Source organism: Homo sapiens, chromosome 22, assembly GCF_000001405.40.
Source record: "Homo sapiens chromosome 22, GRCh38.p14 Primary Assembly".
In the NCBI taxonomy this organism is placed as follows: Eukaryota; Metazoa; Chordata; class Mammalia; order Primates; family Hominidae; genus Homo; species Homo sapiens.
Genome location: NC_000022.11, coordinates 18,483,514 through 18,500,846, shown reverse-complemented (window position 1 = coordinate 18,500,846; position 17,333 = coordinate 18,483,514). Strand labels below are relative to the sequence as shown.

General features: G+C 43.0%; 1 long non-coding RNA gene across 2 annotated transcripts in view; it reads right to left on the bottom strand.

Moving 5' to 3' along the window:
- Positions 1 to 252: 252 nt before the first annotated feature.
- FAM230A (family with sequence similarity 230 member A) overlaps positions 253 to 17,333 on the bottom strand; it is a 79,211-nt gene continuing 62,130 nt past the window's right edge. For both annotated transcript variants that reach the window (NR_165629.1, NR_136560.2), the window contains exons 5-12: positions 13,643 to 13,708; positions 11,581 to 11,642; positions 11,082 to 11,115; positions 6,821 to 8,861; positions 6,215 to 6,287; positions 5,948 to 5,988; positions 5,331 to 5,485; positions 253 to 691 (exon numbers count right to left, since the gene is read on the bottom strand). This is a non-coding gene — a long non-coding RNA (family with sequence similarity 230 member A). The remainder of the gene's footprint in view (positions 692 to 5,330; positions 5,486 to 5,947; positions 5,989 to 6,214; positions 6,288 to 6,820; positions 8,862 to 11,081; positions 11,116 to 11,580; positions 11,643 to 13,642; positions 13,709 to 17,333) is intronic.

The window sequence follows — 17,333 nt, the reverse complement described above, 5'->3', positions numbered from 1 at the left end:
TGCCACTGGGGTTAGAGACAAACATGGTGGGAATGGAAAGCCACGCACAGTCACTAGCGCCTCTGGGGGGAGAATGGATGTGGCTGGTGAGAGAACAGGGGGGCCCAGGGAGAGTCCGGCACCAACCTGGGTGGGGGAGCCCAGTGGGTGTGAGCACCCCCACTTTAGAGATGAAGTGATGGAGACATTCAGATGTTTAACCCCTTGTTCAAGATTCCATACTTGATAAATGGCAGATCAAACTCCCAACATAAAATGTGGGTCATTTCTTTATTATTTTATTTGTATTGGTTAACAATGATCAGCCATGCAAGAATAAATGATTATTGTAAAATCTGCAAACAATGTAGATATGTAGAGAATCCCTTCCTTGGAGCTTGACCTTGTCAGACAGGTATAGATGAGTGTTCCGGGGCAGCCGTAAAAACTGCCAGAGACTGGGCTGCTTATAACAGAAACGCATGGTCTCCCAGAAGCCCACATTCAAGGTGTCCAAAGGCCTGGCTCCTGGAGGCTCTGGAGGAGAGCCTGTTCCCTGTCTCTCAGCTTCTGCCGGTTGCCAGCAAGTGTTGCCGTTCATTCACTCCAGCCACTGCCTCCATCTGCACACAGCAAAACAGCATATCCTGAAGTGCTCAGCCTTATAGCCATTATTTTAAAATATCTGGAACACACAGGACCGTGGGAGTGGCTGTTGGAGAAATTTTCATGAAGGAAGAAAGATTACAACTAAGTTTTAAAATGCTAGTTTTGTTTGTTTTGTCTTGGAGAGGAGGTAAAAGTGGGAGTAAAAATAGGGAGTTTGGTGTAAGGTGGGAAAAGCAAAGGAACCCCGCATGGATGGGCTGAAGGGTGTGATGGGAGAACAGTGAGAAGTACGTTTGGGGAAGCAATTGGAAATAGTAGCTAAGCTTAATCACAATCTATCAAAAGGGACTTGTTGAAGAATTAATGTGTGACTAGGAACAGGGAGGTTATGGGCTTGTCAGCTCGACAGTGGGCACTCAGTTCCACTAACGAATGATGCCCGTGTGGACAGACAGAATGATGGACAGGCAGATGAATGCATGGGCTTTATGTGAAACAGGTCCTCTTGGTTGTTGACAAGATACTGTTTTAAAGTTCCATTTTGCCATACTTCGAACGGCTTGTCATTAGCTCAATTTAGCCACATGTAAAATCACTAAGGCGGACTTCCAGAGTTCCCACATGAAAATCAAATGTAAACCAGCAGTGACCTGCTTCAACACCATCATCGGAAGTCAGAAGTTGAACTCTTTTTTGATGTTTAAAGCCTGCATAATATTCGCTGTATTATTATTCAGCATATTACTATTTCCTTCGTGATGGAAATTTGATTTATCCCAATTTTCTATTCTATCAAAACACCGCTACATAGAAAATCCCCATGCACATATTTCTCCTAATTGTGGAAATATTTTACATAAAAGACTCTAGACATGGGATGAAATTCCCAGGTTATTGGAATTTTAAAATAGATAGGTACTTCCAAATTGACCTCTTACAAATTATATGAATTCGTAAGCTTCCAACTGTTATGGAGTTACCCATTTTGAGAAATCTGTGCTAAAAGGACCCAAACAATGCTGATGACAATGATCAGGATAATAAGTATGCTGGGAAGACAACAAAATGATTTAGATCTTAGACAAGTCATTCTAGGTGTCTCCACTGTTTCAGTTCTTGCATTCGTTCATTCTTGTGCTTTTTCGTTTTACCAAATAAAATAGCTCCTTGATGTCATATGAATCCATGCTATGCTTAATGAGTATTGGTTAGTAAAATGCCTATAACTAGTAATCTTCATCTATGCAATTAAATATTAATTCATAAAACACTTCAAATGTAAACAATAATTTGTAAATGAAAAGTACATAATACCTCAATTAGAAAAAAATCACTCCATTAAAAAGACATTATTTGTGTGATAAAAGAGATTGCCATTTTTGTATTTTTCTACAAGGTTAAAGAAAACTAAGTCAACTTATACAAGTGAATTTTAAAAGACTTTAGGGCAGGCGTGGTGGCTCACGCCTGTAATCCCAGCACTTTAAGAGGCCGAGGAGGGCAGATCACCTGAGGTCAGGAGTTCGAAACCAGCCTGACCAACATGGTGAAATCTCATTTCTACTAAAAATACAAAAAAATTAGCCCAGTGTGGTGGCATGTGCCTATAATCTCAGCTACTTGGGAGGCTGAGACAGGAGAATAGTTTGAACCTGGGAGGCGGAGGTTGCAATGAACCAGGATCGCACCATTGCACTCCAGCTTGGGCAACAAGAGTGAAACTCCATCTCAAAAATAAATAAATAAATAAATAAAATAAATAAAAGCCTTTAACCCAGAATGCTGAGTAAATTGGCCAAAAATGCTAACCTATGCATTTCAATACTATAGGAGTTGCATGGGTAGAAATAACCAGATGAAATACTTCTGGTATTTCACCTTCCCAACCCACACGAGCCAGTGTTTTTCTGTGAATAACAAAAACAGCAGAATTTACTTGCCTCTCCATAAGAGGTTACCACTTCTGTGTGTTCCCCCGAAACAGGTGGTGGCTGGGTGAGAAGGTGGACAGCACTAGGGCAAGAGATGGGGGCTCCAGTATCGTGGGTGAGCTTCCTAAACCTCTGCAACTTTCAGCCCCTAAATGGGATGAGCCATTAGAATTTTTAGTACAATGCCCAGAACAAAGTAAGGATTTGACAAATGACGCCTCTCTCCACATTGTTCTGTCATCAGCCACCGCATCCTGTACCTCCAAGCCCACTGGGCTCCGGCTGTTTCCATCACATGGAGAATGACTCAGAGCCTGGCCTCCAGCCACCCTCCTGGCCTTTCTTCTTCTCACTCTGCCACTGGCTCCTCATGGACCACCAGCCTGGGTGTCCTCAGACATACCACACACTTCACTGTGGGAGTCACGCAGCCCTCACTGCTCCTTCGCCAGGGAGCCACGGGGCTTTCCTCCTCAGGAGGACTCTGCAAGCAGCTGGATGAAGGGCCCTCCCGTCTCTCATCCTTCCTTAATTTTTGTCACAGTTCTCCTTCCTTCCACTCAGTGCAGCGCACACTGATTGATCCTCCATCTTCCCCAAAAGACAGGAACAGCATGAGCAGTGGAGAGTAGATTCCAATGATAGAAAAAATAGTCAGTGATTTCTCATTTCCATTGATCATCAATGAAGAAAATGTATCCTGAAGGTCATGTACCTCCTATGGGACTGCTGCATCCTCAGCCTCCTGAATTTCAGCCCAGCACCTTCCTCCCCAGCACAGCAACAGGTCAGCCCTTACCAGCATCCCTCTCTTATTGCCTTTGTGCAGAGCCAGCACCAGGGCCAGGGGAGGCCTTGGGATTGTCCCTCCCCAACAATCTGTGAAACAATCCTTTATGTCACCAACAAAGCACAGCCTTATGCACTGGTGGTCAGTCCCTCTCAACACCTCTGTCACTGTAAAGCTGGCAGGCAACCCTCCAAGGTTGGCCTTCCCAAGCACTGCACCTCTAGGTGACAGAGCACGTCCTTACCTTGAAGCCTGGGCGCCCAGTCTATCCTGTCCAATGAGCGAGCTGTGGAGAAGGGGGGATTCCGGGTTAAGGGGAGACTAGCAGGGCTCCTGCTTTTATGTTGCCCTGTTGGGAAGGCTATTAAAGAAACACAAAGTGCTAAGCAGTGAGGATAGAACATGTTTTCATTATTTCAACCAATACATTCCACAGATGGAATAATAAGAAATGCTACAACCAAGCTAACTGAATCCAACAGCATATCAAAAAGATAATCCACCATGATTCAAGTGGGTTTCATACTAGGGATGCAGGGATGGTTTAACATACGCAAGTCAATAAATGTGATACATCACATCAATAAAACTAAAAACAAAAATCACATGATAATCTGAATAGATGCAGAAAAAGCCTTTGACAAAATCCAGCATTTCTTTATGATTAAAACCGTTCGTCAAAATCAGCATAGAACGGACATACCTTAAGGTAATAAAAGCTATCTATGACAAACCCACAGCCAACATTTTCCTGAATGGGGGAGAGTTGAAAGCATTCCCCCTGAGGAAGGGAACAAGACAAAGATGCCCACGTTCACCGCTTCTCAACACAGTGCTGTTCACTACAGCATTGGTTATAAGAGCAAGACTGGAAACAGAACAAACGGATACCCATAGCGGGGTGCTTAAGTAATTTTGGGAATAGTCATGGGGTGCAGTACTTTATAGCTCTGAAACAATACAATGGATTTACATTTGAAATGTGGAATGATAACTAAGGTGCATTGCCCAGTGATATATGCAGAGGTGCAGAGGACTTTGTGTAAACACGATCACACATCAGCCTGCATTCCAGGTGCATGCTTCTATTTGCACATAGATTGCAGGGATGATATGCAAACAAAAACGTTGACTTGGTGTTTGGAAGTTCAGAGTGGAAGGGAAACTTCCTTGCTAACCTTTTATGATATTTAGAGTTTCTAAATGTGAATACGTAATACATTTAGAAATCTTAGTTAATAAGAAAAGCCTCTGTTCCTGGCCTCTTGCTGGCACATGTCAGGTGGAAATGGGGCTGTCATGCTAATGTGTGCAAACTGAGAAAAATCCAAGAATGGGAGTCTGCTTTTTTCATCATACAAATAATTGTTAATAGAAACAGTATGATAATTGCTCATTGATATACCATGCATATTCTATTAGATAATAATAAATTTCTGAAATTTGAACTATACTTACACATGGAAATTGAAATATATGGATGAAACATTGTGGCTTATAGAGGCAATTGTTTTATTGGCATTTGACAAACTGATCATCATTCCTCATGGCACGGGTCCATGTGATATTAAGTAGCTTGTTATGCTTGGGAAAGGCAGTGATGACCACAAGAATGACTTCAACTACTAAAGTACAATGGAGATTTCAACAATGTTTTGTTTAATATTTAAATATTTCATTGTGCTCCCAGGCTTTTTCTCACCCTAATAGCTCTCATCCATATCATGTGGGTCCCATTAATACAGATACCTCCGAATGCACCACTCTTCCATTATATCCAGTCAATTGCTGGTTACCTTGGGCCTACAACTGGGGGAGGGCAGGGGCTGCTGGCCACCTCCTCATCTACAGTAAGAGTCAATGAGCAGTTAAGTGGATACTGAAAACCATTTATCCTGCTGGAGTGAGAAATAAATGGTTTCTTTCAATAGCGTAGTAAAATGCATCTTTTCCAAACTATTTATATGACTCAAGGCCCATCTCAATTTCAGATGTGGTTAGCCTCAATTCCTGATTCTCACCAAGGTGTGTAATGTCATCCACGGCCCAGTGCAGAGGAACACAGGTGCTGCCGTCAGACTGCCAGGGTCCGATCCCGCCTCCTCACTCACCCCGGGAGATCCCTTTAAGCCAGGAGTCAACAGTGAGGATGGAAACATGAGTGCTTTTTAAAGTCCTGAAAGTTCAGAGGCAGACTGTCAATTTCTCCTCCACCCCTGGGCACACACCAGGAGAACTCTGTCTCCAGGTTGAAGGAAGTGCCTGTGAGAGAGTTGTGTCCCTCAGATTCTGTTCACCACAGGTGACACTCGATGCAACCCCAAACCTCTTCTGCACAATCCCAAGGGGTGCTGACTAATCCAACCCAAAGGCTGTGATGTTTGGCAGAGGCAGAAAAGAAAAGGCCAGGTGTTCTGGGAAAGACCACCTTTAAATATCACAGCACCCTCATAGCCCAGAGAGACAGTTCTAACTATTATGCCAATAAACCCGGAAAAGACCAAATCCAATATGACACATATTTCCTGTTTCCTTTTGATTTCATGCCCCCTCCCTTAACCTCCCAAGCAGCATGGATACCCCGAAGGCCCCTGGGAACTCTCTCCAATTGGATCTTACGTGGAAAGTAGTTACCTACCTACAAATCCCCATCATCAGATATGCTCTCCACAATCAAATCTTTAGAAACACAAACACCAGGATAAGTCATTAGAGAGAGGCCCACCCACTCCTCCCACCCTAGCTGAAGCCATGGTGCTTCGCACAGGATCCCCTGGTGTTTCCTCTGGGCTCACAGATATCCCTACAGCCTCTCTGGACATTGTTTTATACTTGCAAAATCATTTGCTCTCACCAGACTCCAAATCCTCCTTCCCAAAAGGAGCCCAGAATCAGGTTTCTGTACCCTAGAGATGGCGTTTTTTCCTCAGGAAGTGAGTTATTTCAGGGTAGGTATCATTCTCCAGTGTCAATGGCTCCTGCAATTATAGAAAAGAAAACATTAGGAGGGTGAAATGATGCCATACACGTCACACAGATCTGATAGTCTCTCGACAACTTGAGAGAGAAAATAAGAAGGGGTATAGTGATTGAGTCAAAGGTCAAAGTCCCCCAAAACTGGCACGGAAGACACCTGTGGAAAAGACAAGACCTTTTCCCACAGAATTTATCTTTAAAGTGTATCTAGATTGGCAGTTTCACAACTCTTAATCCATGGGGGAAAACTGCTGTGGAGGGAAACACCTCTGCATTGCAGTGGATCGTGGATGCTGCCATCTACCACACCCCAGTGTGCCTGGCATGGGTTGGTGAGAGGCCGCCAATCAATAGCACCACACCAAGGGAATTGCAGATGTCATAAATAGTCCACATTGGCAGATGTTCATGTCTACATTTGATTAAACTGCAGATGACATCGATAATGCACACTGGCAGATGTTCATGTCTACATCTGATTGGAAAGAAGCCAGGAAAGTAACATTTCTGTTCAAGACAAAGAAAAGTGTCTTACATTGGCAGCATCTTCTTTTTTACAGATGTCTTGTACAGTGTCCTCATTAGCAATGTCATATACAGCGTCCTTATTAGCGAATTCGTATACAGCATCCTCATTAGCGATGCCATATACAGCGTCCTCATTAGCGATGTTGTATACAGCGTCCTCATTAGTGATGTCGTATAGAGCGTCCTCATTAGCGATGTCATATACAATGTCCTCATTAGCGATGTCATATACAGCAACCTCATTCGCTATGTCTTGTAAAGCATCCTCATTAGCGATGTCATATACAACGTCCTCATTAGCGATGTCGTATACAGCGTCCTCGTTAGCGATGTCTTGTACGGTGTCCTTATAAGCAATGTCGTCTACAGCGTCCTCGTTAGCATGCCTTGTGGGTGTCATTAGCGATGTCATATAGAGCATCCTCATTGGTGATGTCTTATATGGTGTCCTCATTAGCGATGTTGTGTACAGCGTCCTCGTTAGCAATGCCTTGTACAGTGTCCTCGTTAGCAATGTCATATACAGTGTCCTCATTAGCGATGGCTTGTACACTGTCCTCATTAGCGATGTTGTGTACAGCATCCTTGTTAGCGTGCCTCGTACGGTGTCATTAGCGATGTCGTATACAGCGTCATAATTAGCGATGTCTTATACGGTGTCATCATTAGTGATGTTGTGTACAGCGTCATCGTTAGCGATGCCTTGTATGGTGTCCTCATTAGCGATGTCGTATACAGCGTGCTCACTAGCGATGTCTTTTTTTTTTATATATACTTTAAGTTTTAGGGTACATGTGCACATTGTGCAGGTTAGTTACATATGTATACATGTGCCACGCTGGTGCGCTGCACCCACTAACTCATCATCTAGCATTAGGTATATCTCCCGATGCTATCCCTCCCCCCTCCCCCCACCCCACAACAGTCCCCAGAATGTGATATTCCCCTTCCTGTGTCCATGTGATCTCATTGTTCAATTCCCACCTATGAGTGAGAATATGCGGTGTTTGGTTTTTTGTTCTTGCGATAGTTACTAGCGATGTCTTATACGGTGTCCTCATTAGCAATGTCGTGTACAGCGTCCACGTTAGCGTGCCTTGTCGGTATCATTAGCAATGTCGTATAAAGCGCCCTCATTGGTGATGTCTTGTACGGTGCCGTCATTAGCGATGTTGTGTACAGTGTCCTTGTTAGCGACGGCTTGTATGGTGTCCTCGTTAGCGATGTCGTATACAGCGTCCTCATTACCGATGCCTTGTATGGTGTCCTCATTAGCGATGTCGTGTACAGCGTCCTCGTTAGCGTGCCTTGTACGGTGTCATTAGCGATGTCATATACGGCACCCTCATTAGCGATGTGGTATACGGAGTCCTCATTAGCGATGTCGTGTACAGTGTCCGCGTTAGCGTGCCTTGTCGGTATCATTAGCAATGTCGTATAAAGCGCCCTCATTGGTGATGTCTTGTACGGTGCCGTCATTAGCGATGTTGTGTACAGTGTCCTTGTTAGCGACGGCTTGTAGAGTGTCCTTGTTAGCGATGTCATATACAACGTCCTCATTACCAATGCCTTGTATGGTGTCCTCATTAGCGATGTCGTGTACAGCGTCCTCTTTAGCGTGCCTTGTACGGTGTCATTAGCGATGTCATATATGGCATCCTCATTAGCGATGTCGTATACGGAGTCCTCATTAGCGATGCCGTGCACGGCATCCTCGTTAGCAATGCCGTGGGCAGCGTCCTCGTTGGCGATGCCGTGGGCGGCGTCCTCGTTGGCGATGCCCTGGACGGCGTCCTCGTTGGCGATGCCCTGGGCGGCGTCCTCGTTGGCGATGCCCTGGGCGGCGACCTCGTTGGCGATGCCCTGGGCGGCGTCCTCGCTGGCGATTCCGTGGGCGGCGTCCTCGTTGGCGATGCCCTGGGCGGCGTCCTCGTTGGCGTTGCCCTTGTCGGCGGCCTCGTTAGCGATGCCGTGGACAGCGTCCTCGTTAGTGATATCGTGTGAGGCATCCTCGTTAGTGATGTTGTGTACGGTGTCCTCATGGGGAGCTAGAAGAACACAGAGTTAAGGTCAGTGCCCTGGTAGTGGAGACTGTGAATCACCCAGGGGCTTGCTTGGTGTGGTGCATGGAGGTGGCTGATCACAGCATGGGCCAAGCTGATGCTGGGACATCCTCCCAGGTGGACCTGCACTAGTGAAGCTAAGGGATGTGGCTCAGAACACTTTCTGCAGTGGGCATCAGTTTCCAGGTTCAGGTATGCATTATCCAGTGAAGTGGGGAAATATAAAAAATAAAAATTGACAAATTCATGAAAAGCCTTCCATGAGTGCAAGTGTGAGTTTTTTATCCACTTTACATTCAGTATGCATTCACACATACAAAATATTTTTACAAGAAATCAGAAATTTTAATTTTTGTCAGTTATGTGAAATCTAACTTAGCTGCCAACATAAGGATTCTATCTCATTTACTTGGTCTCGAGAAAATCTAGCACATAGTAAGTAGACCAAAATGTTTATTAAATGAAAACACAGAGCAGAGATAGGGGGGCTGCTAGGCAGACTGGGTTGCACCTGATTACCTGGATGATAATTAACTGCACAAAACCTCGGTCAAATTAATATTGAAACTGCCTTTTGCTTGGGCTCGTTTCCCTTGTGGAAGAAGGATGACCAAGGAGATGAACAGGAAAGAAATGAGAAACAGAGGCCTTTGCTTAGTAGCTAAAGGCCACCTTCTATAACACGAAATAGTCTACAAGCGGCCTTGAACTCTGCCGTGATTTAGTGACAGAGTTCCCTCGTGTCTTCTACCCAGGTTGAAGTCCAGCAAAATTGCGACTGTCCTCTTTACAACTTGCGAGACCACACTGCTTCTGCATTTGCCTGTTGTATGTATGAGATTTACACTTGTTTTAAAGCAACATTTTGTTTCAGTTGGGCTGGTGGCCATACCCGGCACTAGCCAGTCAATAGTGAGATGGCTCCTCATGGAGGAGGCTTGGCTTGAGGCTGAGGGTCTTTAACCCACATATACAAGAGAGTTGCCACTAAGGGATGGAAGCCAGGCTAATAACCAAGTGCCACACAGAGTTCCTATCTGTCCCTCCTCACCATTTTTGGCTGGCAGGATTTGAGCATTTTAGGGCTTGGGAAGATAGTATTACTAAATCTACTAAAATACATCACCCATCCTTATAGACTTTGGCCAGTTGCTGAGCAAATTAACTTCACAACTGAAGTGGGCCACACTGGCCTTTGTGGTCCCCCACTCCTCTTAGAATTTGTGAGCGTGGGGCCTACTGGAGGGTGGGAGGTGGGAGGAGGGGGTGGATCAGGAAAAATAACTGATATTAGGCTCAATATATGGGTGATGCAATAATCTGTACAACAAACTCTCATGACACACATTTATATATGTAGCAAACCTGCACATCCTGCACATGTACCCCTGAACTTAAAAGTTAAAAAAAAAAAAAAAAAGGATCGGTGAGCTGAGCCAAACACCTGGGGATCTTTGTGCTTTTGACACACTGATGACTATGCCTGTCCGTGGGGAGATGAACCTATAACTGCCCTGGGTTGTGTGACCACGGAGACCACTTTATGATGATGGGCAGTGCCTGGGGCCTTTTGGGCTCGGTGCCTTAGGGTTTATACATGAATGCTGGACTCCCTGTGTGGTGGTGAACACCCCATGACTAAGTGCATGTCAGCGTCAGCACTGGCCCACACTCCTGGGTTCGTGTTTTCACTTTTTCATTCAGGAACTCGGGAGCTGGGGCCACTCCCTTGGCCCTTCAGGTTCTCCACCTGAGCAGTGGGGATAATAAGGCAGACCCGGGGATGGCTCTGGTGAGGGTGGAGGAGTCACTGTACAGAGAGAGTAGAGCGGGGGTGGATTTTATTGTTAGAAGTGGACACTGGTGATTGGGTTGTATAAGTGGGAAATCTCTCCTGAGAAAACACACAGCCTCACCTGTACAGAAACACACACATTCACACCACACGATGCAGCCTCACACAAGACACCACCAATCCTCAAGCACCCAACTCAGCACCACCCAAAAGGGAGCACAGCTGCTTCCTCAAAATTTGGCCATAATTTTTCCCTGGGGAATTCAGGTTTTAAAAAAACACTTCCCCTATACTTATTCCTATCACAATCCCAGGATCAGGGTGGCTCTTCACATTGAAACCAGGCAAGGATGCCACACCTTTCTTGGCATCCAGATTGTTTTCTTGGTAAGTGATTCCAGAATACTTACTAGATTCATGCCTCAGAGGGGCCACCTGCACCACCTGCAATACAGAAACAAAGCTTTTTGAGGGGTATGTCATGTTGTGGATTGTTTGCACAAGGCTGTGTTTCTCTCAATGAATATTGAAAACTTGATCAGAAAGTGTAGTCAACTTCAAGGCCTCCAAAACAAGGGTAGGATACACACTGGAAAAGACATCAGCTTCTGGATGGTGGATCTCTCAGGTCCACGTAGGTTGGCAAGTGCAAAATACTGAATCCAAGGAGAAGACATTGCTTCCAAGGACAAGGACCCCAAGGATACAGTCTACAACCTGAAGCCATCATAGCTAAATGCCATTTTGTATTACATATCAGTTGCTAAGAGTCACTTCTTCCTCCCCCTCAGAAAACTGCATTTAATACCTGTCATGGACATTGTCATCTTTTCACATGTAAAGTCAGTTGAAAAAGAAAGACAACAAGAAAGGAACATTTCTATTTCAGAGAAAGCAAGGCAACCTTACCCTCACGTTGACTGGCCTCTCTCCATCTCCTCTGTCCTTGTGAACTAGAGACTCCTCAGAGGCTAGGAGGACACAGAGCAACAGTTAGTCATAGATGCTTTTGTTCATGAGTTATTCAGGGAGCTCTGCTTAATGTGGACAACAGGACAGTGTGTGTGGATGTGTTTCATTAAAAGCACAGCTTGAGCTCCTGCTAGAAAATCCTCCCTCGTGGAAAGACAGGCAAGAACGAGGAGCTAAGGAGCAAGAAATAGAGTCCCTGGCATTTTGCTGATGGCAACTTAAGGCAATGGGAATGAGTCAGTCTACAAATGGTACTGAAGCACATGCTATAGTTTGATGAGAGTCCCACTGCTCACACTGTGAGGTTTGAAACCCAGCTAAATGGTTTTCTAAACCTGTAAAAACAATATTACTTGCAGGATTTATGTCCCAAGACTACTTTTACCTCTGAGGATCCACAGTGGCTGTCACTGCAGTTATTATGTGTTTTAGCATTTTGCACTTGAATAAAAGCAAAGTTTAATAGACAGGTTGGATTCAATTCTAGGCAAAACAGTCTATGGTATTTATTCACTAATCCTTTGTTATAACTGCTGATGGGAGAATTAGAAGTACTGAAATTATATCCTTTAAAATTAATTAAAGCATAATTATTAATCACACAGTATTTTTTCATCCAGGCCTCCTTTTCTTTGTCATGCATGCATATTAATTGAGGATGGAGAATATCTACGCTTGTTCAGGCCAGCCAACATACGACAGTTTACTTCAAGACAGGAGACATGGGTTGAATGCTGGTATGTTTTAACTCTGCAGTGCAAACAGTTGCAACAAGTGTGGTGAACTAATCACCAGATGGCCCTTTGCTGCCTTATTTGTCATTGTGCCTTACATGTAGCTTGCAGGATTTGATTACGCTTATGTTTTGTGGTGATCATACTTTCAACTATTCCTAAAATACTGCTTCAGTCTTATCTGTTTGGGGTCAACTGCTGAGGATTTCATACAAATTAATGAAGTTTGTGAATCTAAAGTTCTACACAAAGGGGGAAATATTTGCAAATCATTTATCTTGTAAGAGACTAAAATTTAGAATATTTTTAAATATATTTAAGATATATTCAAAAATCTACAGCAACAAACTAACTAAATAAAAATCAGACAACTCTTTAAAAATGGGCAAAAGACTTCAACATATATTTCCCTAAAGAAGATACAGCCACAGATAGTAGCACAGGAAAAGCTGCTCAGGATCATTAGTCATTAGGGAAATGCAAATGAAAAACACAAGCAGCCACCAATATACACCTACTAGGATGATTTAAAGGAAAATAAGTGTGAACAAGGACGTAAAGAAATTGTAACCCTGATACATTGATGGTAGAAATGGATAAAGTTGCAGCCACTGTGAAAAACAGTCTGCAGTGGCTCAGAAGGTTAAATATAGAACCCCTGTTGGACCCAGGAACTCTACTCTTAGGCACCCCAAAGAATAGAGAACAGAAATCAAACAGATGTTTGTATACTAATGTTTGTAGCATCACTTTTCACAGGAGCCAAAAGGTGGAAATAATCCAACCATCAGTGAACAAATGAATGTAATAAAAGCAAGGTGGTCTGCATGCAATGCTACATCATCCATCTGTAAAAAACGAACATCATTTTGATAGATGATACAACATGGGTGGACATTGAGAACATTATGCTTAGTGAAATAAGCCAGACACAAAAGGAATATATTGTATAATTGTAATTACATGAAGTGCCTAGAATAGTCAAATTCATACAAGAGAAAGTCGGATAGGAATCACCATGGGCTGGAAATAGGGGGAAGGTGCTATATTGCTTATTGTGGACAAGGTTTTGTAAGAAATCATCAAAATTGTGGGTGTAGATAGTGGTGTTGGTTATGCAACCCTGTGAATATATTGAATGCCACGGAGTGCACACTTTGGTTAAAAGGTTCAAATGATAAATAATGTGTTACATATATTTCCCCACGATAGAAAACATGCACAGCCAAGCCCAGATGCCAGTCTTGTTAGCTGCCTTCCTTTACCTTCAAGAGTGGGCTGAAGCTTGTCCAATCTTTCAAGGTTGCTGAAGACTGTATGATGGAAGTCATCTGCATTGGGAAAGAAATTAATGGAGAGAGGAGAAAACTTGAGAATCCACACTACTCACCCTGCAGGGCCAAGAACTCTGTCTCCCATGCATTGCTGACCCATCTCAGTATTTCCTGTGACCACCTCCTTTTTCAACTGAAGACTTTGCACCTGAAGGTGTTCCCAGGTTTTTCACCTCGGCCCTTGTCAGGACTGATCCTCTCAACTACTGACCATTTCACCTCCATTCATGTCCATGCCACATCAGGCTGTGTTGTCTAGATGGCATGAATCTACCCCAAATGTCCCTTTCTGGAGGAAGCCACCATTATGCTGTACCTCCAAGCATAATGATACGTCCACACACACCAAGGCACCTCACTCATGCAAGGTGTGTGTCCTCTAACAAAGTTTCACGCTCTAAACCCAGATAACTTTTGAAACCCAAGTTCTGTTGATTCCCCTACTTTGGGTGCTCCATAGATGCTCATTTGTCTACTAAACACTGCCCCAGGCAATTAAATATTCCAAAGTGACCAGCAGAATTTTTATGTTAATTCTGACATTGCATTGTTAGTACAAGTGTTTTTCCCCCTTCAAATTTATGTCTTTGTTACTGATAAATGTAACTGATAATGCTTTTTTCAGCTATGTTGCCAAGCATATTTATATAAAAATATACTCAGATTGTTTTCAGAATTTGACAAAGATGATAGCAACAACGATAATCTCATTTGTCTTATACTAATCTTTATGTGTTACTTTCATCATTTCTTACATATTGGGGCCTACCATACATTGTACGGTGAAATTAGTGCTATGCATCATGGTAGGAATATAAATTGGCAAAAGTAATTTAGAAAATAGTTCCCTTCTTTCTTAAAAAAATTAGGCTGGGTGTGGTGGCTCATGCCTATAATCCCAGCACTTTGGGAGGCAGAGGTGGGTGGATCACCTGAGGCTAGGAGTTTGAGACTAGCCTGACCAACACAGCAAAATCCTGTCTCTACTGAAAATACAAAAATTATCCAGGCGTGGTGGTGTGTGCCAGTTGTCCCAGCTACTCGGGAGGTTGAGGCATGAGAATTGCTTAAACCTGGGAGATGGAGGTTCCAGTGACCCGAGATTGTGCCACTGCACTCCAGCCTGGGTCTCAGAAAAAAAAAAATTTTTTTTGACCAAAATGTCATTATGCATTACATGACTGTATGTGAATGCTCAAAGCTACATTACTCATCAAAGAAAATAACAAAACAATTAAATGTCCATTAACTGATAAATGAATAAACACTATTTGTATGAATAAACACAGCAGACTATGAAGGAAAACACATGACCAGCACGTGCTAACACGTCAATTAACTTCAAACATAGTATGCTAAATGAAGGAAGTCAGATTCCAAATATATATATATGTCCATTTCTATAAAGCAAGTGGGAAATTTATGGAGATGGAATGTCACAGCAGTATTGCTTAGGGCTGGAGATGGGAGTGGGGATTAACTGCCAGTGCGCAAGACAGAACTTGGGTGAGGGAAACATATTTAAATTAGATCGTGGTGTTGGGTGCACACAGTATCAATTTAATAAAGCATCAAATTGTAGACCTTTTCAGTGGGCAAACTTTATGGTGGGTTCACACCCAATATAGGTGTTAAAAATAATGTTACGGAAATTCTTGTCGGGTTTTTAACAAGCCAAGAGATATGCTGTGAAAGCAGCATTAATTCAAGTGGTTGTAACAGGTCACTTAAAGTTAATCAGATAGTTGTCCTACAAATATAGGGTGAATGTTATTCATGAATTTCCTGAATCTATTGCAATAATCACATTTTTTTCCATTAAACTCTTGAGGTAGCTAATTTTATTTATTGCATTTTCAATGTTAATCTACTATTTCATATTTTGAGATTAACTCACATTAGTCAGAATTTAAAGTATTTTAAAATATCACAGAATTTAATTTACCTTATCTGGTTTTGGTTTCAAGACTATACTAGCCATTTCATTTAATTGTACATGTAGGGTATTCTAATTTATGGAAAACTATTACATTTTCCTTGATTTTTTTTTTTTTAGAAATTACTTCTAGGGATCTATATGGTAGAGTCCATGGAGAATTGTTTTAATTCTTCATTCATGTCTTCAGTGGGTATAGGATTGGTCATATTGGTCATAGTTTTCTGCTCGGATTTCAATAAGAAACTTGTGGAAGAACCTGAAGGGTGGGATCTTTGAGGGAGCCTAAGACAGAGCAAGACAAGCTAAGAAGGAGGGCAGTGCCACAGCAGAACTGCCGTTGATGCCCCCTCGCCTAGATTGCGGAAGAGACATCCAGCTGTAGACACTGAGGTGCAGGAAAACAATGGAGCACCATCAGAGAAAGCAGTGCCCAGGAACAAGGAGGCACTGATGGTGGCAAGGGGCAAAGACAGCTGCCACGAGGCTGTTCACATGAGGGTCTCAGGCTGCATAGACACCCACACCAGCTGAGGGGTCCTGGTTTTCATAAAGTGTGTGGCTCAGCCAGGCCACCAACAAGCAGTTCACAAACAGTAGTAATACGACACTTTCCAAAGACCTTACTTGAGTAACACGGTGATCCTCACAAATTTCCAATCAGGATGGTCGCACAGTTCCTCCTGCTTTAGGACTCAGAGCCTGCCCGTGGTCACAGTGGGTAGGTGCAGACTCTGAAGATGCACTTTGGTCAGAGACCCTGCTGAACTCTGTCTAATGAGGACCTCTGTCCTGTCTGCTGACCACCGGTCAGAGGTGCAGGCTGCAGTGGGGAGTAAGAATGCCACCTTCTCAATGTTGGGAAAACTCCCTGCCAGAACTGAGAATGGCCCTTTCTAAGCAGAAGGCAAGCTCAGACTAAAGAAGGAGGCCGAACACATCAGGTTGGCAGATTGCCAAAGATTCACTCAGGGAGAGCCCACATCCTGGGCCATCTTGGGTGGTGGCAAGATGAGGTAGACGACTGCTTTTGCAACACATACCTGACAACAAAAAATCAACAACTGTAAAAGAGCCACAAAATCCCCAAATATTTGCAAATTAGCAATGCACTTTTAAATAACTCATGGGTTAAGAAGTCTCAATAGAAAATTAAAAATACTTTTAACTACATTAAAAGAAAATGTGACTTGGCAAGATTTCTGGATGTAGCAAAAGCAGTCCTTAGAGGGAAATCTACAGCATTGGATGCAATATACTAAAAATCACAAGACCTAAAATCAGTAATATCATGTTTCAATTAGGGAACTATAGAAAATAGAGGAATGCAATGGAAAGCAAGTAAAAGTAATAAACAACATCACAGAAATCAATAAAATTAAAACACTGAAATCATCAGAAAATCAATAAAACCAAAAGCTGGTTCTTTGATATGCTCATTACAATGAATGAATTGATATGCAGGCTAACCAAGAAAAAGAAGATAACACAAATGACCAATTTCAGAAATAAAAGAGGAGCCATCTCTACTGAACTGTTAGGCATTAAAAGGAATATCATGAACAGTTCTATGACCGCAGTCTGATAACCTCAGTGAAATGTATCAATTCCTTGAAAGGCAATCTTCCCAAGGTCACGCTAGAATCCTAATGTGAATAAACTTATGTCTATTAAATAAGTTGAATT